The following is a 27999-nucleotide window of genomic DNA, read 5'->3' as shown; positions in this document are numbered from 1 at the left end:
TTTTTAAAAAAAGATTTAATTCATGATACTTTATTTCACCCCATATACCCAAAATATTATCATTTCAATATGCAATCAATGTTTTTAAATGATGAATGAGCCAGTTCACATTCTTTTTTCCATACAGTCTTCTTTACAATGGGGTGTGTATTTCCCACTTGGAGAACATCCTGGTCTGGCCTGGCCACACTGCAAGCCCTCGGCAGCCTCTTGTGGTCAGTGGCTGCCCCAGTGAGCAGCACAGCTACAGAGGTTCAGGAAAACCAACCCCAGGAGCGTGGATGTTCACTGCCTTCCTTCAACCACTCCAGGCAGGTGCGTCCACCTTTCCTCCTCATTGCCTCACCAGGGCTGCAACTGCCGAACAGCCTTTTCTCGGCAGCCTGACAGAATAGCTGTGTGTTGGGTTTCTGCAATCATAAAAAATGACCACAAATATGCATTCGGAAAGAGGAACGAAAACTCCTCTAGGCCCAAACGGTAATGGCAGTACTAGGTCATCTTTCTTGGAGACGGAGGTGAAGGGAGGGCAAGGGGCCCCTGGGGAAGGAAAGAGGAGGCGGGCGTGGCGTCGAGCGCGAGGGCGGCGGCCTAGCTGCACCCGCGAACTTCCCCACACCTGCGACCAGCTCACCTCGCGGCGTGAGGGATCCCTGGCAGTCGGACGCGGCAGGGTGGCTGGTTTCTGGGGCTGAGTCTGGCCCGACACAAAAGAGGAGGGAAAGGAGAAGGAGACGGAAACAAAGGCGCGGGGGAGGACGAGGAGGCGCGCGCGGTCGCGGGGCAAAGCGGCGATGCGGTGCGGGCGCGCGCAGCCTGGGGCTCCCGGGACCAGCGGGCGGGAGCAGGCGGAGCGGGCAGGGCGATTTGAATATCAGGCTCTGCCACACTCGGGGCGCCGCTGACAACTTCATTACCTCCGCATATAAAAATGACTGCCGGGGAATGCAAATAGCTCGCCTGTCTCAGCCGCCTGCCCTCGTTCCGCCGCCGGCTGCAGGCGGAGGCCCCGGGAGCCGCGGCGGCCGGAGGCGCAGACGCGCCCTGTCCAACATAATGAACTGCCCGGCCGCGGCTCCGCCCACCCCCCAGCCGCCGAGCCGGGCCGGGAGGGGGAGCCGGCCCGGTGCTGGAGGAGGAAGGGGTGGGCGGCCGGGCGCGGCTCAGAGGCCGCGCGTTGCTAGTCAGTGTCGGCGCAGGCCCTGCCTCTTGACTCTGTCATCCAATTACTGCCATGAAAATACCAGGAAACTAGAGTGCTCAGTGGGTTCCACTCGTGACCGCGAACTCTGACGGAAAAGCGGGACCCCCGGCCTCCGTCCCGTGCGCCCTGGTGGTTAAATTGGACGCCAGCATCCCGGCGCCCCGCTCTCGTCTCGCCTGCAAGCGGGCGGCGGGTGTGCTGCGCCCTGCTCCCCAGGCCTGCGGCCACCGGGACAAGGCTGCGTCGCTGTGCAGGACCCGCCTCCCGAACCCTGGGCCTTGCTGAGCTCCCCGTGTGGCCACCGAGGCAAGCCGCGTGCGGGAGGGAACGCAGGCTTCACGGCGCCTCTCTTCTTGCCCTGGCTTGCTCCCTGGCAAGAAGTCACCTCCCGCCTTCTGATAGCTCCCCCTGTCACATTTGGGCCCCTTGTGAACTTCTCGAGGAGAGGAGCTAGGTCACTTTTATTAATAGCAACAACGACAGTAGTAAACATATGCTGAGGACTATTCTACGCAAGGTACTATGCCAACTGCTTTACCTACATGTTTATCACAGCGATCTTATTGCACTCCTGGAAACCCAGGCTTAGCAAAGCCTTGAAAGGTTCCCAGCATAACCCAGCTAAGGTGGGAGGGAGCACAGGTGAGAACCCAGGCCCCTCTACACTCTCAATCACTCTGCAGTATTTTCCGGGTCCTTCTTACAGCTCACACAACTGTCCAGCACTCCTTTGTCCCCCGAACGCATCACCCCCAGCCATCTTAGGCCGGGCCAGCCCCCCGCCCCCACCCTCACCCCCTCCCTCACCCCCTCCCTCACCCCCTCCCTCACCCCCTCCCTCTCCTTGGCCCAGAAGTAAATCCTAAGTAGTCTAAATCCGTTATGACCAACCCCTTCCCTTGCCCAGGCACTGGCTTAGAAAAGAGCATGTGACCAGTCCTGGCCAAGGCCAAGCCAGGGGACATCTGTTGGGGTTTTCTGGGAAATGCTTCCTTGCCCTAAAAAAAGACACCTCTAGCGATTCCAGTTTCTTCTGTTGTAGAATGTATATCCACCACCTGGCAACCACGGAGGAGCCAGGGAACAAAGTTAGTCTTTGCAGAGATTTACAGGATTAAGTGAGCTAACTCCAGGGTTAAAGTTTAGGAGAATCATGTTTTAGTCCTATCTCTACCTGCGATGGAGTCATGCTGCCTCGTGTTTATTCAGGGACATATTTAAAGTTAACTCCTTTTTGAAACGAGACAAGATAAAAAGATGTAAACAAAGGAAAACTCCAGAAATTTGGTCTTGTCTCCATTAAAGAGTGTCTGTTTCTAGGCACTTCAGTGGAACCTCTCACTTCCAGCTTCTCTTCCTGGGCACTCACCTCTAACTCATTCAGCTTTTTTCCCTCAAAGTAGCTCTTTGCCTACACAGGCAAGGCATCTCTTCCCTCCAGGAACATCAGAACCCCCCTTCTAACCCTCCTGCACCCACACACCCAGGCGTCTGAGCTTGACTGCCTTTGAAATGTTTACTGGCCTTCAAGTAGTCTCTTTGAAGAATTTGCATCTAATTTTGAACTTAGGGAAAATCGGGCATAACCAGTCACTTACTAGTTTCCTTGGCAACTACTTTAAAACAGAATCTAAATTGGAATGAAAATGGATTTTTATGGTTTCACTAAAATCATACACACTTTTCATGAAAATATACCAAAAAAACTATAAAAAATATATACATACTATATGCTTTATTCGTTTATCTGGAATCAATACACAGTAACTAACTCAAATATCTCTGTTCCCCACTGCTGAGGAAAGGCACTCCACACTCCCTTAGCAAGACATTTAAGACCCTCCACAATCTGCACCTAACCCAGCTCCAGCCTTATTTGTCTACTACAGTACATCCCCAAATCATGCTATTGCATTTCCTCTCCCATGACATTCTCTAGAATGCCCTTGAACTTCATGTCCAACTGTTCAAATATCACCGATCTTTCCAAGTCCAGATTAAATATCACCTCTTCCAAGAAGCTTTTCCCATTCCTCACATATAATGACACAAATTGAGTTACTTAGTGTTTATTTTCAGCAATATTTAGCATATTTTATTTACTGATACCCAGTATTGTTAAAATAATGCACATTTCCTAACAGTTGGGGGGCTTCAATATTACCATGCAAACAATTAAAATGAGTAATAAATATTATCAGCAGAATTGTATAAATCTTACTCCCAACTTAAGGCTGAGCTGTTCTGTCAGATGTGATAAAATAAAGCTTCATACGCTGCTTGTTTTTCTTAGGATAACTTTGATTTCAGTAATAGAAAACCTGTCTGTAGTAGCTTTAAAAATGAAGAAAATGTAGTATCTCATGTAGGAAGTACCAAGGTAGCAGATGCTAAGTTTGGTTAATTTAGTGGGTCAAAAATGTTTAATGTTGTCAAGTTTTTCTCGTCTTTCTGAAATTCTGCCATCCTCAGCTTGCTGACCTTGTCCTTAGCTAGTTCTCCTCAAGGTCTCAAAATGGCTGCCATAGTTCCAGGCATCACTTTAAGACATGGCAAAGGCCAGCCAAAAAAGTTGACTGTTCTCAAATTTTTTAAGAGTGGAGAAATTATACCAAAGATCCCTCAGATCTTTTCTCATTGGCCAGAACCAGGGCACGTGACTATCTCTAAACTACCACTGGCAAGAGAGGCAAGATTATCAGAATTGATAACTAATCAGGATTTAGTCTTGAATTATTTTGAGGGTAAGGGGAGCGGTGCAGGAGAGCAGGGAATTGACAGGACAGGCAATGCCAAAACAAAAGCTGAATTTTAGTCCGTTTCCCAGTCATCAATTTCTGCAGCCAAACTATCCCAAAGCTTAGTGGCTTAGAAACTTTTTTATTTTTTCTCTAGAATCTGGACAGGGCAGCTCCCAAGGAATAAGGAATAAGGGAGGATGGCTATTGAGTAGGCACTAAAAGTATCAGCAACTTTTCTTTTCTTTCTTTTTTTTTTTTTTTTTTTGAGATGGAGTCTTACTCTGTTGCCCAGGCCAAGCTGGAGTGCAGTGGCACCATCTCAGCTCACTGGAACCTCTGCTTCCCTGGTTCAAGGAATTCTCCTGCCTCGGCCTCCCAAGTAGCTGGGATTAAAGGCGCATGCCACCACGCCTGGCTAATTTTTGTATTTCTAGTAGACACGGGGTTTCACCATGTTGCCCAGGCTGGTCTCAAACACCCAACCTCAGGTGATCCTCCCACCTCGGCCTCCCAAAGTCCTGGGATTACAGGCGTGAGCCACCACGCCTGGCCAGTATCAGCGACTTATGATGGCTTTTTATTTGAAGATCAAAACCAATCACACTTTGATTATTCTTATATTGGTTCTTTCTACCAAAAAATAGTGTTTGAAAAAATGGTATATATTGATTTAGTCGATAGCAAACTGCTTGGCTGAATCCAATTGATATTTTCTTAGGGTGCAGTAAAATATTTGCTCTTTTGCTTTGCTTTCTCCCCACTAAATAACTAGCCATATTATGGATCCCACATAGGATTTTTCCTTTAACAATATGAATTCTTGACTGAATTAAGCCATTTTTGCCCTAAGTTCTTTAGTTTGTAGACATCTGAGAATTAAGTCAGGAGAATAGCAAATAATTATTTTAATTTAGCAAATAATGTAATAACTGGATTATTCACCATCAGAATATTCCTCTTTGAAAACGTGTAAATCATAGAAATGTTTGAAGATAAAATTATTAGTCATTCCCCTCTCGAAGGCAGATAGGAAAATTGTAACATGTAGTCTTTGTTTTGTAATGTCACTTCATTATCCTAAATAGGCCTTCTAGTTCTCTTTTAATTTATATATATTATAAATAATATTTTTATATATTTTATATATTTATATTATATAAAAATTATATAATATAAATAATATATATTATTTATAATATATTATATATATTTAAATATGTATAATATATATTTAAATTATATATATATATATATATGAGGTAAGAAAGTTCTTAAGTAGTGGCTAAGTCATGTCATTTATCTGGAGTCAATACACGGTAACTAACTCGAACGTCTCTGGTCCCCGCTGCTGAGGAAAGGCAGCCCACACTCCCTTAGTAAGACATTTTTAGTCATGTCATTTACTAAAATACCACATGGACTTCCTTTTGTCATCGTATCTTCCATCTTCTAATAAATGTATAAGTGTCTCTAGAACAATACCTGGTCAGATGATGAATGTTCGTACCATCATACTCTCCCTTTCTTTTCAAGACACTCATGGAACTGCTTGCACAAAATCTGATGTATTCCAATACCATCTCTGTGAATCATAGACCTTTAAAGCCAGAATGACAGTCCTCTAATTTGATAGGTGAAGAAACTAAGGCCCTAGAATTTAGAGAATTTTCTGGAAGTTACCAGACTAGTTAGTGACACAGTGGGATCTCATTATCTTGTTTCTGGTTGGTTGCCCCTTAGACCATACATTGGTATTAATGATTAACATGAAGTACAGACCTAACTCTAACCAGGTTATGAGTCAGATTCTTTAATATGGAGTTGGTGGCACCCACTCAACCAGGTCCCTGTAATCTCCACGCCAACATACTCAGCGATCCCATCAAGTCTCATTCCCAGGTACCTGAGGTCTCCTCAAATCCCTGTTTCATCACCTGTGCCAGCAGCCCAGGCAAACCTGGGGTTCACGGAAGGTACTTGACAAGGTGCTTCTTTCTGTCCCCATTGAGCTGGGGCAGGCAGGGGAAACAGAGACAGCTGGTGATGCATCGCCTCCTGTCTATGCACCTTCACAGCGAACTTAAAGCTGAATCTTCAGATTCAAATCTGACAGTTTAATCATAAAAGAAGGTTTTTCTTCTCAAATGTTAATTGAATTTCCCCCCTTAAATAATTGTTTGGATTTAGAAACCCTGAGGCCTGTATTTTTTCAGTGTGGAATTATTCCGTTGGCAGCATGCATTCGAATCCACAACTCCTGTTTCAAATCATACATTTCTAAAAAGAGAAACCAATGTGCTCCAATTCACTAATACTTTTAAACGATTAAAAGACAACTAAGAAAATGAAGCCTAACCACGACTATTTGTAGCCTTCTTTTTCTTCAGCCAACAATTGCTGTAATCCACACTAATGAGGTAGACGGTGTTAAGAATTTTCTTCACTTAACATTTCTCATTATTAATAAATTTTGCACTGACAACTATAAAGTGAACACTTTGGATTTATGCACCTAACCTAATTACATATGCTGCATGTACGCATTTCATTATTTACTTGACAGATTCATTCCTTGATATAATAAATAATTAAACAAGAATCAAATATTAACAATCAGATACATGTTAATTCTCCTCAAATCTGTAGAAACAAACTCTATTTTTATCTTCAGTTCAACAAGCACTGATTAAAATTTCTTCATTAGGCAAATTTCATAAGCAAAGTTCTTGATCTACTTTTCTTACTTTCACTGAAAATTAAACCAGAACAAACTATTCCAGGATTACTTCATGGAAAAAAAAATGTAACAGTATTTCTAGCAAAGCCATTGGATTTGTAATCTTTCATGAGCACTGCTGTATCTTATATATGAAACATTAATCTAAGTGTTTGTTAGGAATTCTCAAAGATGGTCTTATTATAAACCAGAAGCCAATACCAAATTGGTTGCTAGTGGTATATTACCAGAGATGTCTTGTGGGATAATGGTTTTAACCAAACAATTATTTTATAACTTGTTTAAAGAATAATTCCGTGACATTATGGATAACGGTAAAACTCAATTTGGGCTGAAAATTTACACTGAGGTCAAAGTATAGCTGTTGCTTTTTGCACTTTAATGAGCTAGCTTTAAATTTTTTTATTCACATATATCAACATCTTCATTGATCAAACTATTCTCACACTTTATCAAATTTGCTTTGGTAGAGGATACAATACAATTTCATCATTTAAAAAATATTAAAGATTCATAGATAGCCACATTATTCATAATGCAAGATTAATGCCAGGCTGACAGGTTTTTGTAAAGATCTGACTCTTTTTTTCTAAGTGCCTATACCGTATCTATGTGAAATATACCTCTGATGTTGCATATTGATTACTCCCTTCTCTTCTCTTCTAATGCTAAAGAGAGAATATTATGAAATGATTGTCAGGGTTAGTGTGTCTCTGACCTACACATGTACTATTAATAATTTATGAGCTGATTTGAAATACGGCACCAAGAAATCAACTGAGGACCACAGCCGCTCCCAGGATGACATAGACTCTGGGTTGACAGCATATGCGCCCAGATTTTGAGGTTCTATTTGTTAAAATTCATAGAGAGACACAAATTCTTTGAGTGCCAGAGTTAACCGAATGGAAGGAAACCACGCTTCTTTGTTAGAAATTTCAAGTAGCTACATTTATCTCTTTTCATCCAATCCTTTCTGTGACATGAAATTTCCTTTTTAAATTATTTAATCAGGTTGTCAAGTTAACTCATAGTGTCCATAAACACTGGAGAAGCTAAATTCAAATAATATGGAGGTATATAAAGCAAAAGATCAGGTCTTTCGTCTTATTTCCCCCATGCCTTCACACTCAAAGGTTGTCCGGTGTGTATCCTTCCAGACTGTTTTCTGTGTTCCTACGAAGACAGAGGAGGTGGGGAGAGAGAGTTCCCACTGTTCTCAGAAATGGTCTCACACTCTACACACACTGCTGCAGGCTGCTTTTTCCACTCAACAACATATCAAAGACACCGCCCACATCAGCACATACATTTGTAGCTCAACTTTTAAACAACAATGTAGTGTTCCACTTTAGAGGTGTCCTTTGGCTCATTTATCCATTCCCTTATTAATATATTCGTAAGCTGTCTCAGATTTTTCATGATTTACAATGCCGCATATACTGAACATACATACTTATGCACTTGCTCAACTGTTTCACTAATATAGAGTCCTAGAAGTGGAGTTGCTGGGTCAGTAACTGATCGTTAAATATCCTTAATCCATTAATTCGGCAAGGATAAATAAATATTCTTACTTAAGATTTAAATAATGTAACATTACATTAACATATATGCTCATGATGTTTAAGTTCATTTCTTTAAAAAAGTTGGCTGGGCTTGGCAGCTCATGCCTATAATCCCAGCATTTTAGGAGGTTGAGATGAAAGGATCACTTGAGCCAAGGAGCTCAAGACCAACCTGGGCAACATAGCAAGACCTGCCTCTATTTTAAAAATACAAAAATTAGCCAGGCGTGGTGACATTCGCCTGTGGTTCCAGCTACTTGGGAAGCTGAGGTGGGAGGATTGCTTAAGCCCAGGAGTCTGAGGCTGTAGTGAGCTAAGATAGCACCACCACACTCCAGTCTGGGCAAGAGAGTGAGACCCCATCTCTTTAAAAAAAAAAAAAAAGTACATTTTTGAAACTTTAATAAAATAGAGTAATTTTAAAAATTAGTTATATTAATTTCATGTTTGAGTAGCTTTATACAAAGCAAACTAAAGTCTAAGTTTTTTAATGCTTTAGCAATATGTCGTCAAGCCACACATCTATATATTTTATTTTTAAATCATTGTCCAAAGCAGCCAGTCTTCATTTTAGCAATACTACAAATAACTAGCACTTGAAAAGTGTATTTATAGAGACTGACAACTGTTAAACTACTGAATGCTTTTCAAAATATATTTTAAAAATTTTATGTGTGAAAACATTTCATGTAAGGAATCTAATTATAAACAATGCTGTTATGTTTATTTCAAACCATCCCAGGCAAGTATATTTGTAAAATTCTCTTCTTTTCACCTAAATTGTTTCAAGCCTTCTACAGAAAGTGTAATGGTTACCCAGTGTGTCTGTCAAGTTCTATTATATGAACTGGAATATGCTTTCAGAAAAGATACCTCGCATCCGATGACAGGCACTTCCTATCTGCTAGGATTCATAAAAATTGGAACACTGATCATTTCTTGTAGAGATTTTCTTTAGCAAGAAGATAAAGGGAAACCTTGTTATGCCAAATGACTTACTAGTCAAAAGTAGCCAGGACATTGAAACCTGGAAACTAGTTAATGGTTTGTAACAAGTCAGAAATAAAGATGTTCAACCAAGAAAATGACATTAAGCAGCACTGGCTACAAGAGAAAAGAGCAGCCTGTCAGAATCATGCAAGGGCTGTGGTGACAGGTAGACAATAAAATGGGATGACACGGGTTCCTCTCAGCAGGGGGTTTTAGCTTTCTCTTGGGAGTTTCCATGCACTTCCTTTGTAGGAAACCTTCTCTCTAAAAATGGCAACAGGCCCCTTGGAGGTCTTATTAAAATTCTCTCCCTGTGTTATGAAGTGTGTTGGATAAGGCAGATGACAGTACCTGAACAGTTAATTCTTCATTGTATAAAGGAAAGTAGGAACAGCGGTCACACCAGGAAGGTAGCTAGGTGGCTGACATAGCCCAGTAATATTGCACAGTAGGCATTGTGGAACAGGAAATGAGTGAGAGGGGAAAATCCATCCACAATCCCACCTAGAATGGCAGACAGCAGGAATCCAAACAGAAGCAATATCATACATATGAATATTTCATATTTAGATTGGTATCCATTATATCTGTAAATGAATTTCATATGCTAGTTTAAATCTCCATAGTGGACAGTCCAACAGCATCATTAGGATGAATATTGTTTTCATTTTTAAGAGAAATTTTCTTTCATTCACTTTCTGCCACTAAACTGCAGCTATAACAATGTATCTCTACCTACCTCATTATGGGCCATAAACGATATGCCAAGAAAGAATGAAAAGAAAGCAAAGAACCCAGTGATTGCCCAATGAGTTCCTTAATATCCGTAATTTCAAGGGTTTGATCTCTACTTTATCCACAATAATGCTATTTCAGTTTTTTACTTAACCTTGTTTCAACACAACGTTATATCATTTCATATATGTTTATTTAAAGAGTTTTAATGTCACTAAACTAATTTCCAATAAAGTAATAGCTGTTAGAACAGTCTTTTTTCTTATAAACCATTTCTCTCTTTTTTATTCTATTCCCAACATATTTTAAGCTGTCTAACAAGATAAGCATTTCATAACCTTTTTCAGCTAAATTTTTTTTTCTACTAATGTGTTTTCAACCAGGGGGAGGTCTGTATTTTCCACACTGCACTTCTACATTTAAAATTATTTCTGCTATAGATTAGCTGTCCCTTAGTGAGCTATGAAAGACAAAATCCTAGCCTCTTTAAGCCCGTCTTGTTTGATAGCATGCGATATTTGCATGAAATAAAAAACAAATATTTGTTCTTTTTATACAAGCTGTCAGCACAAGCTTAAGTTGTTTAGAAACCTATTCAGACAAACAGAATTGGTGTTTACCACATGATATATGATGAAAGGTCAACAATAGGTAAAATCAAAATTATTTTAAAAGAAGAAAAGAATTGGCATGCTTTTTTTTAGACAAGGTCTTGTTATATTATCTAGGCTGAATTTGAATTCCCGGACTCAAGGGATCCTCCTACCTCAGCCTCCCAGGGAAGGGAGCTGAGACTACAGGCATGCACTAGTGCGCCCAGCCGATACGCATTTCTTAAACCAAAGGTGATCGTGTTGTGCCATAAAGTACATAGTACACTGACAATTAAAACTTCTTTGTTTACTTGTTTGTTTAAGAAAGCATGGACTTAATTCGAATTGCTCACTTACCAATGTATTAACTTTAGGTCCACCACAGGGATAGGTATAAGAAAATGTTCTTTGTTACCCTAAAAAGTTGCCAATTAAAGTTGCATTTCAGCTCTTTTCTCCAGGGAGCTTTCTGATAGCCAATAGGAACATATTCTTAAGTCAGGCAAGCTGAGCATTCCTGCTATCACTGCCACCTAATCAGAGCCACTGAGTTACCACCTCCAGTTGCCCAACAGAGTCACGCTTCTGCTTATGAAACTGACGACTTCTGAATATGCAAGAGCGGTGATTTACCACAGGATGCTTTCAGGGACAAATGCACTTTCACTCCACCTCTAGAATTTGCACTGTCATGGCTGCCCTGGGGAATGCCTCAAGCCTGGGGACAAATTTCACCCACCCCTAGATCCACTCTGTCCTGTAGCCACAAGGACAGAACTTGTTCTGCTTCCTGTGGACGGTGTCCCATCTGCTGAACACACATTTTAATACATAAACTCTATTTCCAGGAATAATACCTATTGGTATTAACAAGAAAATAGCATTTCTACAAGACTCTGTGAAAAGAAACCCTGTCAGTGCCACTCATTCTACCTTCAGAGACAAGTCCCTGTAATTACTTTCTCCTTATTTCCTTGTCTGGCTAAAGCAACAAGATCAAAAGAACCTATCCATTTTCCCCAGATACCTTCCAAAATGTGCGTTTGCTTTGCAGTCTGGGATCAGAAATTTCATTATCTGTATTTGTATTAGTAATTCACTGCACAAAGAGAACAGAGGGCAGAGAAAGAGAGCACGAGTGGAAGCAAACATCACAGACAATTGTATATATGCAAATACTTGCAAATTTCTGCCAGCATCTCCCTATCTACAACCAAGCAACATGGAAGTCTATTCATCCCTCCAGCTTCTTTGCTGCCAAATATGGTTGTGGTTCTGGGGAAAACATTCAGAAAATGTTCAACTTTCAGCCACCAGGACTAAATCTAACTCAAAACCTACAACATAAAAGGCTAATGCATAAATAAAATCAGTGATTTTCTAGAAAGACTTGGGATATGCAACATTCTGATACAAAGGGTAAAAAATAAGATTGGCTTGCGAGGGGGGTGGAGGAAGGAAGGGAATGGTTGCATGCAGCTCTCCAACCTAATTGACAGAGAACTGAAATGTTGCCTCTTGTCTGTCTGGGATTGTGCATTTGCATAAATAGCCTAAGTAAGAAGGGGTATAAAAAAGCCGGGAACAGTCCTGATAAAGAAAATGCCCCAAATTCAAATTCATAAATGCAAATGCTCATTTTCAAATATATATGCATAGTGTTTGAAAATGACAGCAAGAATCATCATGTATTTTGTTTTGTCTTGAAATCAATTATTCCCAAACAATAACGGTTTATCAAAATTTTTCATGACTTCCTTTATTTGTAGATATTTATTCTACCCACTGCAAATCACTGATAATGGTAATAATTCACACATATACATGTCTTTCACATATAATAATTCAGTGCATCCTTAAAATTATGCTTTGAGGTAGGGTCAGTATTATACCCATTTTACAGGTAAACAGACCAAGCCTCCAAAGTTTAGAGAGTTATTCAAATTTACATAACTAGTAAATTAGTAAATGGCAGGACTGAAATTCAAACCCTCATGCTTAACTCTGAATCCCAAGAGCCTCCACACCATGATGCTGTGTAACATTACCAAAGATGTAATGGCCTCGGCCATATTTTGCCCCTCAGCAACGTTTGACCCTGCTGGCTGTGCTGCTCTGGAAGCCCTCTGCTTTCCTTATTCTTGGGAATGGCTCTTTGATTTGTCTTCTGCCTCTTAGATTGTCTCAGTCACTTCCAGGGTCTCCTCTTCTGAGGTCTTCTGTCTACCCTTCTTTTTCTCTGCCATCAGTGAGCAATCTCACTCAATTCCACTCCTTCATTTATTAATTCAACAAATATACTTTGAGCACCTCCTATGTGCCAGGCACTAGTCTAGGCATGTGGGATACCACCGTGAACAACAGCCTGTCTCCCTCCTCAAATAAAGCTTATATTGTCATGGGGATGCAGAGGACATAGATAAAAACAAACAGATATCTATTTAGATACAGGTGATTGATGCTATGAGAATACAAAGCAGGGAGGAGAGATGGGGAAGGTAAGGAAAAGGGAATGAAGAAGGAGGTTGCAATTTGGGGTCCAGGAAGGCCTCACTGAGATAACATTTGTGGAAAGATGTCCTTCATCAATTCTCCTCTCAGAAAATTTCTAAATGTTCCTCTCTACCTCTCGCCCTATTCCAACCTCACATTTTCACCTCTGGACATATCATCTCTTCCTGTACCCACATCCTGGCTGCACCTGAATTCATCTTCCCCTTCTCTTCCTCCTGCACCTCTTCCTGTGCTTCCCACTCTAAGTAACAGCACCACTATTCTTTACACCATGAATATGCACCCAGTCGAGAAATACATAAGGGGCCCCTTCTAAGTGAATGCACTCTTGTATTCTAGGTGCTAAGAGAATACATTGGTTTTATAAGAGCTATTTTCTCCTTGAGAAACCATATAGGGTATTAGAAACAGATCTGATTCTGTGTTCAATCCCACCTTTTCCATTAATTAGCAGTAGGTTCATCTATACAATGAGAATAATGGTACCCACTTTCTATTAATGTTAAAGTAGTCCCCCCTCATCCAGTGGGGTATATTCCAAGACCCTCAGTGGATGCCTGAAACCTCAGACAGTCTGAACCACGTATACACTATGTTTTTTCCTATATGTGCATACCTATAATAACATTTAACTTATAAATTAGGCACACTAAGAAATTAATAACAATAATAATAAAATAGAGTGGTTATAACGATATACTGTAATAAAAGTTATGTGAATGTGGTCTCTTTCTCAAAATATTTTATTGTACTGTACTCACCGATTTTTGGACCGCAGTGGATGGCCAGTAGCTGAGACCTCAGAAAGCAGCTGGGGAACTACCGTATAGGGATTAAATGCAACTGCGCAGGTAAAGTCAGCAAGTGAGCGAATGAATGAATAAAACAGTGAATGATATGCTTACTGCAGTGCTTGACATGGGAAATACCCGACAGTTTTAAAAGATGTCATCAGGACCCACTCATTTCATCTCTCAGCTCAATTACCTTTGGTGTGGGCTCCATTTTCAGGCAGTGGCAATATGGGCTTCCCAGAGTTCCAGGCTTTCATCCTATCCAGCCATCCCAGAGGAGGAAAGAGTTTCTTTTCTCAACAGTAGCACAAAGGTCATTGGTTTTGACTGGGCATGTGACCACTTATGAACCACTCATCACTTGGGCCAGGAAAATACAATTGCTCTGATTGACTAGACTTGGGTTACACCCCCTTGTGGGGATGAAGGTTGACTCAGCTCCACTCAAACCACAGGGACTGAGAGTGGAGAGGGGTGGTCCCTGAGAAATACCAAGGGTCTTGCAGGAAGAGAATGGATATTGGGCAGGTAAGATAATGGATGTCCACTACACCCAACTATGGCACCTGATTCATTCTGTCTTGCATTATAGTTAGATGTTTTCATGTTTGTCTGCCCTCAGATTGAGAGCTTCCAAGAACAGGGGCTGAAGGTTTGTTATCATCTATCTGCTGGAGTACCCAGCTCAATCTTCTAAATATAGTACATGCTCAATAAATGTTTTTAACATGAATTGATTCATTACACTAGTGTAAACTATTTCTTCTTTTGCATATTTTAAGTTCTGTGGTGTCTTTTTCTCTTATTACAGGAAAATACATAAAGTCTAAAATACACATATACCTTATAGCACCTTAAAAGACGTTTCCAACAGCAGAAGCACATAAACCATCTTCATAATTTACACATATATTGACTTTCTCCCCTCTAAAATCATTAACTCAGCTAAGTTTACACAGGTGAGAAAAAAAGCAAGAGCGGTAGTGCCTTTTTAAGCCACTTCATCTTGCTATTCTGTTTTTGTCTGGCAAATGCTGAATTTGCTGAAACTGCGAGTGCATAAGATTTTCAAGACTTGCACTGCAGCCCTCACAAGGTGTCAGTATGCACTGGGCATCAGTTGGATTTGACTACAGTGTAGAAATGTCCTTGATCTTCCTCTGGGCCACGTGATTTCAACCTGTATGGCCTTTTTCAAGGCTACCTCCTCAAATCCTGTAATCCCAAGTGTGGCATTCTCTCCTTCTTCCTGGGTACACGGCTGCCCAGCTAGAGACATGTCCCAGCCTTGCTTGTGTCTGGTGTGATCATGTAACTGAGTTCTCACCAAGTGATGTGGTGATGTGTACAACTTCCAGATCATCTTCTTAAAGATGTCTAAGATTTGCTTTTAAATAATGCAGCGAAGCGGTGGGGGACATATTTGGGGGATATAAATGATACAAGTTTGACCATACAAAGGTAACTGTTTAAGCTCAGTGATAGGCGCATGGGAATATCTTATACTGCATTATCCCTACATTTGTGTATGTTTGAAAATTTCTATTGAAAAATAAATTATGCTGCCGGGCACGGTGGCTCACGCCTATAATCCCAGCACTTTGGGAGGCTGAGGTGGGCTGATCACAAGGTCAGGAGATCGAGATCATCCTGGCTAACACGGTGAAACCTCGCCTCTACTGAAAATACAAAAAGCCGGGCATGGTGGCAGGTGCCTGTAGTCCCAGCTATTTGGGAGGCTGAGGCAGGAGAACAGCATGAACCCGGGAGGCAGAGGTTGCAGTCAGCCAAGGTGCGCCACTGCACTCCAGCCTGGGCAACAGAGTGAGACTCTGTCTCAAAAAAAAAAAGAAAAATAAATTATGCCAGGCATGATTGCTCACACCTGTAATCCCAGTGCTTTGAGAGGCTAAGATGGGAGGAAGAATGCTTGAGCCCAGGAGTTTGAGACCACCCTGGGAAACATAGCAAGACCCCCATCTCTACAACAGACAAAATTAGCTAGGCATGGTGGTGTGCACCTGTAGTCCCAGGTACTTGGGAAGCTAAGATGGGAGGATTGCTTGAGCCCAGGAGGTCAAGGCTGCAATGAGCCAATATTGCACCACTGCACTCCTAGGTGACAGAGTGAGACCTTGTCTAAAAAAAAAAAAATTAAAAGGTGCTTTCCCCAGTTATGTTCTCTCCTTTCCTATCCTGGTTAGAAAGAGGGCTGACTGGAGCAATCAGGGAAAGCACGTGTTGAGGATGGCAGAGCCACTCCTCCAGTCCAGGTCCCTGGGCGGCCCCCTGGAGCAGGGCTTGCTTACCTGCTTTGGAGAGTTACCTGAAAGAGAAATTGATTTCTCCCTCATTGGAGCCATTGCCATCTGGGGTGTCTTTGTTACAGCTACAGTGTTGTCCAGGTGACTCTAGCTCCTTATTTATTTCCATTTTATTTCAAACTGTCTCCTCTACTCTAACAGGCAGTAATAATCTTGCCTGGCTTCACCAAACCTTTACTTATTTCTGGCTCTCTTATAGGTCAGCACAATGTTAGAGCTCAAGAAATATTTACTATGTTTACATTTTTTGTTGTTTTGAAGTCAGGCTGAACCACCAACTACAGAAACAAGTAGACTCCACTAAGACAACTTTAATTAAACTGCTCACAATACAACTCACTGTCAAAACCTTTACACCAATTTCACATTTGAGTTTGGAGGTCATTATTTAACATAGCTATGTACAAACCTTTGATTCAGAAAAGAACCATAAATTAAAGCAAAACTTAGGTTGAAATGCTAATTCAACTAGAAAATAAAAGGTTCAGGAAAACTTAATATTTTTCAAAAAATATAAAATACAGTTCTGTTATAAACCCTGCAGGCTGACTCCAACCCACAGACACATTTTATCTTCCCCTCTCCAAATGCGGCACAGTTCTACACAGCATTTCAGGAGTTTTGAATGTCAACGTGCTTAGAGGGCACCACTGCGTCCTCCCTCCCTGGTGGCCTTGCACAAGGCCTCCTTACACATTTATCCTGAGGCCTGTGATCTGCCCATAGACTGGACTTAATGGGAGCGTGAGGCATGTGGACAAAATGGTTTTCTAAAAAGAGTGGTTAATCCTCGTCATGGATTACCAAAGAAGGTCATAGACCTTAGAAATATTCTTAGAAATAAGGTTGGTTTTCACACAGTGGCTTTGGGGTGAGGTCCCCTGAAGGTCAGGGGATAAACTTGGTAGGTAGATCAACAAAGAGGAAAACAAAAATTGGATGCAAGCTGGTGTTCATTACTACTAAACAAAATCAGGAGTTTCAGGAAAACCTTTTACAGGGTTAGACTGCAGGCTTGTCTCTGATCACCACTGTGACAGCCAGTGTGCCCACCTGCTCCCACCCTCCACTCTCCCTCCCCTCCTCCACTCCCCTACCTCTCCCTCCCCCTACCTCCACCCCCTCTGCCCCAATGCCCCCCACCCCAGACTCCTCAGGAGAATCCCATCTTTGTCAGACTAGTTCCTAAGCTATGGCTGCAAAAGTTGGAATTCGAGTGGGGAGGAGCCGAGAGGGCCAGGGACTGCCGTGTCAGATTTACTCTGAGAGCTACTGGGAGAACAGTGAGGAACAGATCTGGAGGGTTAAAGAAAAGGGGGAGAAAGACAAGAGCCAGTGTGGGCTGGGTCTGGAAAATCAGAAAGAGGCTAAAGTTGTCAGGAGTTTGAAAGAAGCTGAAGAGGAATGGGATAGAGAGAGATACGTTGTTATGTGCTGCATAGTAACATCTCAGTCAACAACAGACTGCATGTGCGACTGTTGTCCCATGAGTATCATGGAGCTGCCCTCTACAGGTGTACCATTTTTTATCTTTTATACAGTATTTTAAATGTACCTTTTCTATGTTTAGACCACATATATTCACCATTGTGTTACAACTGCCTGCAGCGTTCAGTACAGTAACATGCTATAGAGGTTTGTAGCCTAAGAGCACTAGGCTGTAGCCAGAGTGTTTAGTAGGCTATGCCGTCTAGGTTTGTGTAAGTAAATTCTGTGATGTTCACACAACAAAATTGCGTAACGACACATTTCTCAGAACATGTCCCCATTGTTAAGCAATGCATGACTGTATATGGTCCCCAACTTAGGGTGGTTTGACTCATGACTTTTTGACTTACAATGACATGATAGCAATATACATTCAGTAGAAATAGTACATCAAGTTCACATACAACCATGCTGTTTCTCACTTTCAGTATCGTATTCAATAAATTACATGAGGTATTCAACACAAGATTATAAAATAGACTTTGTGTTAGATGTTCTTGCCCAACTGTAGGCTAAAGTAAATGTTCTGAATATGTTTAAGGTAAGCTAAGCTAGGATGTTCAGTAGGTCAGATATATTGAATGCATTTTTGATTTACAATATTTTCAACTTACCATAGATGTATTGGAACATAGCCCTATCATAAGTCAAGGAGCATCTGGTAGGGTGAGAAGAGAGAGTGAAAGAAACAGAGGCTTTTAAGTTTGAGAGGCCAGGCAAGGTGGCTCACGCCTGTAATCCCAGCACGATTGCCTGAGCTCAGGAGTTTGAGACCAGCCTTGGCAACATGGCAAAACCCTGTCTCTGCCAAAAATATAAAAAAAATTAGCCAGATGTGGTGGTGTACACCGGCAGTCCCAGCCACTCGGGAGGCTGAGGTGGGAGGATGGCTTGAGACTGGGAGGTTGAGGCTGCAGTGAACCATGATTGTGCCACTGCCCTCCAGCCTGGGCAACAGAGCAAGACCCTGTCTCAAAAATAAATAAACAAACAAACAAACAAACTGAGTACCATACTCCCTGCCTTTCTGTAGAACCTGTTCTCTGAAGGGGAATCGTTCTCATTTAATGATATCCCATGTTCCTTGCACCCTGGCCTCAAGAACACCTAGTGTGAATGCAAGTGCCCCTTAATCATTTTCAGAAGGACTCCAAAGTACTATAGATTCAAGGGATCACTGTTCACCCTTTCTTTTTTGAATCAGTTTAGGAAAACTGTGCACAGTACCCCTACACAGAGATGCATACACACACACACACACACACACACACACACTCTTAGAGATTCACAGTGTATGTTTTTTCTTGAGGGTCTTGCTGTGTTGCCCAGACTGGAGTGCAGTGCCATGATCACGGCTCACTGCAGCCTTGACCTCCCAGGCTCGGGCGATCCTCCCACCTCATCCCTCCAAGTAGCTGGGAACTTAGGCATGTGCCACCACACCCGGCTAATTTTTGTATTTTTTTTTTCTGTAGAGATGGGTTTTTGCCACCTTGCCCAGGCTGGTCTCAAACTCCTAACCTCCAGCAATCCACCTGCCTCGGCCTCCCAGAGTGCTAGGATTATAGGTGTGAGCCACCGTGCTGACCTCACAGTGAATATTACCATATGAAAGTCACTGAGAAGTCCTGCAGAAAAATTAATATTAAACTTTATTTAGCCCAATGTGTCCAAAATGTAACTGGCCATGGAAACCTCCATCCTGTTTTTTTTTTAACTTATTAGCATTTAGTAAACTTATTAGCATTCCTCAGAACTAGCGCTGTAGGGAACACCTTTAGGACATTCTGTATCCAGTCTTTTTATTGTACTGATGAGGAAATTGACATCCAGAGAGGTTGGGAACTGCCTTTGGGTACGTGCCAGCCACAGAGCCAGAACCTGATTCACCAGACATCCTTCCAAATCAACACTCTCTCCGGTAAATCACACTTCAGTATGTCTATTCCATACCTCTAATATATAAACAGTACACACAGCACATGAGTTGATAGCCTTGTAACTGCCAACTTACAAATCACCCTTTAAAAAAATACAAAGAAATCACTAGGTGAGAGCTGAGATCATGTATACAAACTTGAAGTGTGTTTATATACACTATTAATCGCCCTTGTCATGGTTTATACTAGTTATCCAAGTCTTGCTGGTATCAATTGTTTATCCTCATTGCCTTCTCACTGAAATAATACTACCAATAACAAATACTAGCTCCCTCTTTGCTCTCAATGTGAAGGATAACATTAATATATTGATGCAAATTTCTAGCATTTATCTTTATGCATTCATTTAAATAGAGCCAAAACTAAAGAAATCACTTGTTAACAAGATAATCAAAAACAAATCTTTATACTGAGCACTTCATTGATAGATCAAATCCCATTATCACTAACTAAAAGGAAAATTCTTTACTTTGGAATTTGGTTGAATTTAAGACAATTTTCAAAAAAGAAAAATAAGAATGAAGAGGGGGGCATGGAAATCTTTGTTTTTGCAAGAGTTATAACTATTTGTCATATTAAAAAGTAAATTACGTTTGACTGTAAACTTGAAAAGGTAGGTAACATACAAATTTTTTTTAAAAAATCATATTTTGAGAGCAGTCAGTACCCAACTTTAAAGAGCATTTATGAATAATAACATATTAGGAAAGATCAATTGGGATTTCTGTCTAAAAAGTTAAATATTCAGTGCCTGTGATCTGTATTTGTTACCTAAGGCTTCTTTATCAGCAGAAGAAGGCAAATGATACCCTGCAAATGTTTCCAGCATGCAACTTTGCTTATCTCCCTGTATTAATGATCTGTATGGCAGCTGTTATATTAACCTTATCACATAGTACAGCAATAAGGGAAAACTATTGTGAAGGAAGAAAAAAAAACCATTTTGTTTAATCTCTGGGAGCTTTTTTGAACCTAGCAATTTTCTGATTGTCAAGGGTGGAAAAAAAATGAAAGTTAAACTTTTACTGAGTTTATTTACAATCTCAAAGAAGAAACTGGACATTTCCAAATGGGTGATTCAGTAAACATCATAAAATTTGAAGAGGACACAGATTAAATTATCAACTAAACGCTCATTATGTGAATTCTGGGTTTCATGGGGTCCACTAGGGAGCTCCCACCAGGAGTCAGGAAGTGGCTCCTGAGAAAGGCAGTCTCTCCTTCAGGGCTCTGAACCGCTCATTTATGAATATGACATTACCAAAAAAACTCCCATTTGCCCCTCGTAAGACTTCTACCTCTTTCTTCATACAGTCTCTATGTGCACACAGATGAAATTCAGAGGCTCTGTCTTTTAATCCCTCTTTAACTTGGATAATATCAAACCTGACCCTGACACCATTCTACCTTCTCTTCTCTCAAGGTGTTGAGAAATCACCTAACTCTATGATTGCAATTAATGTTTGGTTCAGCTACAAATGCTTGAGCTCAACCCACGTACTAGCAGAATGAACACAAGCCCCTTCCACTCCCCCAACTAGGTAATATGCTTTTTCCTTTTTTTTTTTCTTTCATTATCCCTTTAATACAGAGCAGGGCTACTGATTAGCAAGAGGCAGTTTGACTCCAGCAATAGGTCTTCTTCACTAAGCCTCACTGTCATGGAAATTCCAGCTGCTACAAGAATAAGAGGCTCAATCCATATTTGCCAGCTCTAATATGAAATCTGTCAGAGCCCAAATTAATGAGTTCCAAATTCCTTACATCACGATAACAGGTTAAGACTGGTCAATTAATTACATAAATCCTTCCCGATTCATTGTGCGTTTGCAGCCCAGATTGTGTCTTACATTACTCCATGACACAAGGCCTTTTGGCTCCTGTTGTTCCGCAGAAAGGCCCCATTTAAGTGGAGGCTGCCTGCCACGGCAAAATGTTAAATGTCACACGTTAAATTTGCACTTTTCTGTAATTTCTTTTGTTTAAAAAAAAATTAAACGAAAGCACAGGGCTCCCAGTACACCGCTATGCAGAGAGCTGGGATTGTACTGCACGGATCCCAGGGCAGGTCAGCACCTGTGTTTTACCTCTAAAACAGGTTTTAGAGCACATGCTCCCCAGTACCGGGTCCTCTATAAGCAGTGGAACCCAGAACGTGCATATTTGTGAAAATAAGCCAAGTTTCCCTAAGATCTAAGATTCTTGTCTTTATGAAAGGATTAAAATAGGATTCTCTACATAGCCGGCTTCTCTTGTCTACCAGTAAAAATATGGGGTATCTTAAACCGTGCTGATCTAATCATCTTTCAGAAGCGTGTGCATATTATATTTGCATAGGCCTTTGCCTTAAAAAAAAAACAAAGGTATTCCAGATGGCTTTGCTATTTGTATTTGTCACTGTAACACACCTACAGAGAGTGGTCTGATTGAGGACCTCATAATCATCCAGGCCAAATCTTTTCCTTTTTATAACATCACAATGTGCCTGGAATCACAGCTAGTTAAAACTCGACCTGGATGTGTGACCTCCAGATTCCTAGCGTGGTCCCTCCACCCCATTACATGTCTCTGGACTTGTATGCACGTAGCTGCTGGGTACCGAATGAGACCGGTTCTGGTTGTGTTTCCTGAACCATCTTATTGCAGGCTAGGGGTTCTGCGAATACACGAGCGACCAAATGATGCTCTTAAGTACAACCGACACCTACGTAGGGAACAGGTTCTTTCTACTTGGGAGCCCTAACACCACTCCACTACGCGGGCAGCTCGCCAGACCCAACCAAGGGCGCGTTCTGCAGTGGGCGGCTGCAGCCTCCGCACTGGCCCGGCAGCGCCCCCTTCTGTCCTCCGGCGGCCTGGCACCTGATGTGTCACAGGCCGCGCGCTTTTTCCGGGTACTAGAACACAGTCCCGCTTACAGGGCCTCAGCCTAAAGCGGGTGGAAAACTTGTATCACCCCCCTACACACACACACACACACACACACACACACACACACACACACACACAGCCCAGTCCTACCACCAGGCGCGACCGTCCCCTCCCTCTCCAGACGGAAGGGGCCAGGTTAACGCAGCCGCGCGCCCGCCGGGCAGGTTAGGTTCTCGGGGGCCTAGAAGGGAAAGGGGTTAACTAATGTGTGCGATGCGTGTGCAGATGACAAAATTTAGGGCACGTAGAGTTTGCCCGGCCCCACCGCGTCCGCTCGCGGGGACCCTCGGGGGCCGGGCCCCATGGGGCCGGGGCAGCACGGTGTAGCCCCTCCTCCGGCCGGGCGCGAGCGTCTGCAGAACAAAGCCTGGAGTCCAGCCCCGGCCCCGGCGCGGCCGCCCCTCAACCAACCCCCAGGCGGCAAGGCCCTCTCCACGCGCGCTCTCCAGCCTGGCGGGGCCCTGGAAGCCGGGACACGCGGAGGCCGGGAGGGTCATCGGCGTTTAAGGCAGCCTCCCACACCAAGTGCACCGCCCGGATCCCCTCTGCACGAGGGCTTTCTGCTTATTGCTCTTTTCCCCAGCAGCCAGAATCGTCACCGTAGCGCGGGAAGGGGCCTCGCGGGCCGTCTGCAGCAGGTGCGGCCGGGAGCCGCAGGCCCGCGCGGTAAATCGCTGTCTCTTTGCGGTCGTTGTTCCCATTCACCGCCCGCCGCCCCCCGCCCCACCACGGTTCTTTTTTTTCTTTCCGCCGCGCAGTTGCCATGGGTTACCAGGGCGGTTGCCATGGGTTACCGGACCGAGGCCGGCTGGCTCGCTACCTGCAGCCCAGTCGCCGCCGCCAGCGGAGCGGCCCGGGCGGGACGCGGCGGGAGCGCGCGTGTGCGGGACGCAGCGCGGGGGATGCGCGCGGGCCGCGGAGGCGCCGCAACCAACAGGCGGCCGAGGGTGCAGCCGCGGGAGCGCCACCGCCAGTGGGGTGGGGGGCAAAGCTATAAAGAAGGCCCAGAGGTAAGAAACTAGCAAAAACACAACCACAAGTTATGCCCGTGCTGTGCCTCTAGCAGCAAAGACAAGCGGTGTGGGGTTGGATGAATCTACACTTCTCGTCGGGGGAGAAAGGGTATTTTCCTCTTTAGCATAAGCCATTTACATAGTGTCTTTAGACCAGAGTTTAAATTCAGCAGGAAATTGTAGCTTAATGGTTTTTTTTCTCTTTTCCTCTATATCTTTTGAAAAGAAGTCTTTGGAATTTTGGAGAAAGAGAAAGGGTCATTAACTACCAGAGTTTGCGCAGCTAAAATAAATTAGTGTCCAATGCACTGCTCATGATCTAGAAAAGTTTGCAGTAGGAGTGAAGCGCAATTGTGTCTGCTAAAAAGGGACAATGGTGACTCGTTTGTAAGATGCATATGGCAAAGAATAGAACCAAAGTCCTTTGTATATATAGCAAATGTTAAAGAAATTGTTGCTTATTTACATCCTTCTGAAATTTTTGAACTCCACTCTATTAAAATTATTAATTTCTTATGACCTTTATTTGCAAAGAAAATTCTATGCTTTGAATGTCAAATTGCAGTAACTAATTTCAGACAGTATTTTGTATTTGAAAATGTGTTTATATATAATAAACTAAGAAAAGGTCTATATTCCAAACAAAAACACAAAATTGTACTGAAATTGTTTCCTTCATTGAAAAGATGTTGCCTTGTATTCACAGGATACCAGCTAAGTAATTTAAATATTAAGAGGAAGACTATTTAGAAACAGAATAAGCTTTGTTATTTTCGTTTAAAATGTTAAGGGGCCTCTAATGAAAAGGGGTTGTCTTTTATAGCTCAAATACTGAAAACCTTATTGGTATCACAGTAGCTCAATAATAATGAATCCTTAAGGCATCCAACAAATACAAACCAAATTCAAAACAACGTCCAGTTTACTGTTGGATATAACGGTTATTGTGGCCAGGCTAAATGAAGTTGTTTAACTTCTTAATTGTCATAAAAGAAACTTTGTTCTTTTACTTTATACTGCATATCACTTGTTTGTATTTAATTATTCAATAAAATGTGGACTAGGTTTGAAAAACTGGCAAGATACTTCATATCTTAAGGAATAGTATCTGCTTAAAAATAAATACTTGTTTGTCCCTAGTAATTTTTAAAACTTGAAATTTTAACTAGAATTAAGTAACTTTCTTCTAAGTGAGACTTTATAAGAAGCCGAAGTAACAGGTTGTTGACGTTCAGTGCTGTTGACACCTTTGGGTTATATATAAATCTAGTTCTACAACAAAACACGTAAGTTGGCTTTATAGGTGAATAGTTTACCCTTTAAGAATCAGCCAGGGAAAATGCAGTTTTGCTGTATTGTAATCATAAAGAATCCAGGATTAGAATTCTTTACATTTAAGTCACATTAAAAATAGTGTTAAATAAACATCTATTCAAGTTAGCTACATCAGTAATTATTTTCTTTTTCCTAAAGAAAGCTTTATAAAAAATATGCCAGAGAAAAATAAGAGACAAAGCAAGAAAACCACTGGGAACTGAAGTTCATCTAAATATCTCAGCTGCAAGAAATCAGTTTTAAGAAGCCAGTGTGTGGACATTGAAACAACTAAACCAAGGCTAAAAGCCTCAAATATGTACAACTATAGCTAATATTAAACCATGTTTTACCAAATTTCCTCATAAAAAATAAAAAACACTGAGTTTGGGTCTAAGGCAGAATATATTCTCTTGTATAAAATAAGTGATCCGGCAAAGTTGATTTTTTTTCACGTTTAATGTAAAAATGATCTCGTGACATTTACATACTAAGTATTAGGCATTACATAATATTAATTTTGATGGCTATGTTACATCATCTAAAAATAATATGACAATTGGTGGCATAGTATGTGTTTTTCAAAACTGCTGTAAAACAGAAATAGTGTGAACTCAAATACATATTGCTGAAGGGATGAGGATCGCTCTTAAATGCCTGGATGGCATGAACTTTACATATTAGCATGGTAAGAAATTACTAAATCTTTTCTTTTCCTGTATTAAAATAATGAGGATCTAAGACACATTAAATCAAAATATTTACAAAAATTTAATAATGTTTTAGACCAAAGAAAAAAAGGACAAATTAAAGAAATCATTCTTATTCTAAATTTAATTTTTTTAATGTTAGTTCTCAGTTTTCTTAGCTTTTTTTTCTGTTGGTTCTTTGAAACAAGCATTGTAAAGACTTTTTAATAATACAATAGCTTTTAAACTCTTAGTGAAAATGAAAAGGTTGCTTTTTGTAGTAGCCTCTGCCACTCTTCAATTAGGCTGGGTAACAAAGCAACAAGTTATCCTAGTTATCTGAAAATATCTTCCTGTTAGTTTCACAGAAATATTTTGTACCATTCAACATGGATGAAACTTGGGTAATTATCTCAAGAAAATGTTGCCTCATCTGAAATCTGAACTTCAAAATAGTTTATCTAAGATATCTTTGGGACACTAAAAAAAAAGACATTTTATGAAAATTATACCAATCTTCAAGTAGATGCTTTAAAAGGGGCTTTTTAAAAATGAATAATTATTTCTGAAATTAGCAAGTCGACATCCTTTTCTAAATTATGGGAATATTTATTGGTAAAATTAAATTTATTAATCTTTATAAAATCCTTCCTCTGATTTAAGTAATAAGTAACCACCACTGATACTGAAAGTTATCTAGTGATAAGAAATTGCACATTTAGTCAAAAAATAAATCATTAACCTGATTATACAATGATAATGAAAACAAATTATTTGTCTCCAGAAACCATTTGTTGAAGCTGATTTTGGATAATGAAAATGTATTTCTGAATCTATATATTACAGTTATAAGTAATATTACTAGCACTATCTATGTTTTTTCTAAGATGTAAACATTATTTTAATATGTCTCTATTCATAAGATACATTTCCATCTAAGCGTGAAACAGAATACTGGAAAGGTTAAATACTCTTAAAATATTTCAGTCTAACACCCAAAAGCATAGTGTTTTGCCAGTGCAGGGGAGGTATCCACAAAATATCAGGCACATATCTGAGAGAGGCAGTCTGGTCTACACTGTTACTCTTCATAGGGTTTAACAACATATACACCGTGTTTATGGTAACACTGCCCCACTGATACAAGAAGGAATGCTCTATCTTGATTTTAAATGCTACTTAGTTACCTATCTTTTTAAATTCAATAAAACCAACTCGGTTTTTTAAAACATGTAAGTCATTTCATTGGAGGGCAAGATCTTGTTTACCAATAATGTCTGCCTGTAAAGGATAGTATTGTATTCACAGGATTTTTAGCTTTACACAGAAGCTTACCTAAAATAAGACAACATAAAAATACCACTAATAAACAACCCAACATCTTTAAGAATTTAAATACCTAACATCATGACAGTGAGCTTTAGGTAAGAATGTATTATTATGAAGCTTTCTTCTCTATGACTGGACATAATTTGCTATTCCTAAGATAGTAACATTAGAATTATTTTTCAGGATTCCTGCGGAGCTGTATTTACTTTACATCCATGTGAACTGCTGTCATCACTACTGTGTCCAAGCCCAGAGGATGAACTGGAAAAGAAGAGAGGGGGAAAATAATAAAAAGAGGAAATTGGTTTTCACAACACACTCAAAGCCTGAGTAACAGAGGAGAACTTTAATTATCTCCAGTCACAAAGAGAGACAGGAAATTTGGACTTTTAATTAGCCATTTGGAGTGCAGTTGGGTATTTTTTTAGCTAGATAATTTAAACGCGAATAATTCAAGTCTGACTAAATGAAAGTCACATAATCAGAATGCAAATAATTGAATTTCTACTGCATTCATTAATTCAGTGTGGAGGTGTGTGTGAAGACTACTATGATGAGCTGTCACAGCTCAATAAAATCTCAGTCAATTAATTTTTTCATTATCTTAGTATTATATCAACAAAAAAGTGAAGTGTGTATATATATCTATACACGTGCATATGTGCATACTATGTATTATATAAATACATATACATTAAATCAAAATGCAAGGAAATACCTTTCTGAATCATAATCTATATCATTTTCTTTTTTTCCTTCTTCATCTTCTTCAGGGAAACGTCTATTCATTAAGGCAAACTTGTGAATTGCTTCTTCCACAGAGTACTTAGTCTGCCCAGAAACACACGCCTCAATGTCTTCTGAATTCAGATGGCTCTGTAAGAAGAGGTGAAGGCTGCTATCTGAAAGCAAAAGTGCATTCTGTAGGACTCTATATTAAAAAAAAAAGGAAAAATAATTGGTGAACAGGATGGTCAGTGATAGGGTAGAAGAAAGAAAAACATTAGAAAAGTACCACTGAAGGTAATTTCTCTACTGTGGTAAACTTTGTATCAATTATGGGCTCTGCCCATTAAGGGGAGGAAAGCATATGTT

The 27999-nt window shown here is 41.0% G+C and overlaps 1 protein-coding gene and 2 long non-coding RNA genes across 21 annotated transcripts in view, besides 6 other annotated features; 1 reads left to right on the top strand and 2 right to left on the bottom strand.

Annotated features, from left to right (window-relative positions):
- LINC02981 (long intergenic non-protein coding RNA 2981) overlaps positions 1-1087 on the bottom strand; it is a 142382-nt gene extending 141295 nt beyond the window's left edge. For 5 of the 7 annotated variants that reach the window (NR_148499.1, NR_148501.1, NR_148502.1 and 2 more), the window contains exon 1: positions 635-1087. This is a non-coding gene — a long non-coding RNA (long intergenic non-protein coding RNA 2981). Of the gene's footprint in view, positions 411-634 lie in introns of all 7 variants that reach the window. The other 2 variants (NR_148505.1, NR_148500.1) reach the window with 2 other exon arrangements.
- On the top strand, positions 238-27637 carry SNX10-AS1 (SNX10 antisense RNA 1). 3 transcript variants are annotated; one of them, NR_136272.1, is made up of 2 exons: positions 238-315; positions 27088-27637. It is a non-coding gene; the product is annotated as an SNX10 antisense RNA 1 (long non-coding RNA). The 3 variants fall into 3 exon arrangements; NR_136270.1 differs by lacking the exon at positions 238-315 and adding an exon at positions 22955-23225; NR_136271.1 differs by lacking the exon at positions 238-315 and adding an exon at positions 23387-23569.
- Positions 551-660: a silencer, noted in NCBI's record as "silent region_18040". NCBI's record gives its function as "represses an Ori minimal core promoter by ATAC-STARR-seq in GM12878 lymphoblastoid cells {active_cell/tissue: GM12878}" and the evidence as "EXISTENCE:reporter gene assay evidence [ECO:0000049][PMID:35858748]".
- Positions 751-1210: a silencer, noted in NCBI's record as "silent region_18039". NCBI's record gives its function as "represses an Ori minimal core promoter by ATAC-STARR-seq in GM12878 lymphoblastoid cells {active_cell/tissue: GM12878}" and the evidence as "EXISTENCE:reporter gene assay evidence [ECO:0000049][PMID:35858748]".
- Positions 751-1951: a biological region, named in NCBI's record as "H3K27ac-H3K4me1 hESC enhancer GRCh37_chr7:26437325-26438281".
- Positions 995-1951: an enhancer, noted in NCBI's record as "H3K27ac-H3K4me1 hESC enhancer chr7:26437325-26438281 (GRCh37/hg19 assembly coordinates)". NCBI's record gives its function as "activates a minimal SCP1, AML or CMV promoter by ChIP-STARR-seq in naive H9 embryonic stem cells {active_cell/tissue: H9 hESC(naive)}" and the evidence as "EXISTENCE:reporter gene assay evidence [ECO:0000049][PMID:30033119]".
- Positions 1681-1920: an enhancer, noted in NCBI's record as "active region_25790". NCBI's record gives its function as "activates an Ori minimal core promoter by ATAC-STARR-seq in GM12878 lymphoblastoid cells {active_cell/tissue: GM12878}" and the evidence as "EXISTENCE:reporter gene assay evidence [ECO:0000049][PMID:35858748]".
- Positions 22767-22976: a silencer, noted in NCBI's record as "silent region_18038". NCBI's record gives its function as "represses an Ori minimal core promoter by ATAC-STARR-seq in GM12878 lymphoblastoid cells {active_cell/tissue: GM12878}" and the evidence as "EXISTENCE:reporter gene assay evidence [ECO:0000049][PMID:35858748]".
- SNX10 (sorting nexin 10) overlaps positions 25273-27999 on the bottom strand; it is an 82522-nt gene continuing 79795 nt past the window's right edge. For 7 of the 11 annotated variants that reach the window (NM_013322.3, NM_001318199.3, XM_006715712.3 and 4 more), the window contains 2 exons: positions 27623-27835; positions 25273-27165 (listed from right to left, as the gene is read on the bottom strand). In NM_013322.3, coding sequence (NP_037454.2) covers positions 27084-27165; positions 27623-27835 — 295 coding nt within the window. In that variant the 3' untranslated portion in view covers positions 25273-27083. The remainder of the gene's footprint in view (positions 27166-27622; positions 27836-27999) is intronic. The other 4 variants (NM_001362754.1, NM_001362753.1, NM_001199835.1 and 1 more) reach the window with 1 other exon arrangement.

This window comes from Homo sapiens, chromosome 7 (genome assembly GCF_000001405.40).
Source record: "Homo sapiens chromosome 7, GRCh38.p14 Primary Assembly".
Taxonomy (NCBI): Eukaryota; Metazoa; Chordata; class Mammalia; order Primates; family Hominidae; genus Homo; species Homo sapiens.
This window is presented reverse-complemented; position numbering and strand designations above follow the sequence as displayed.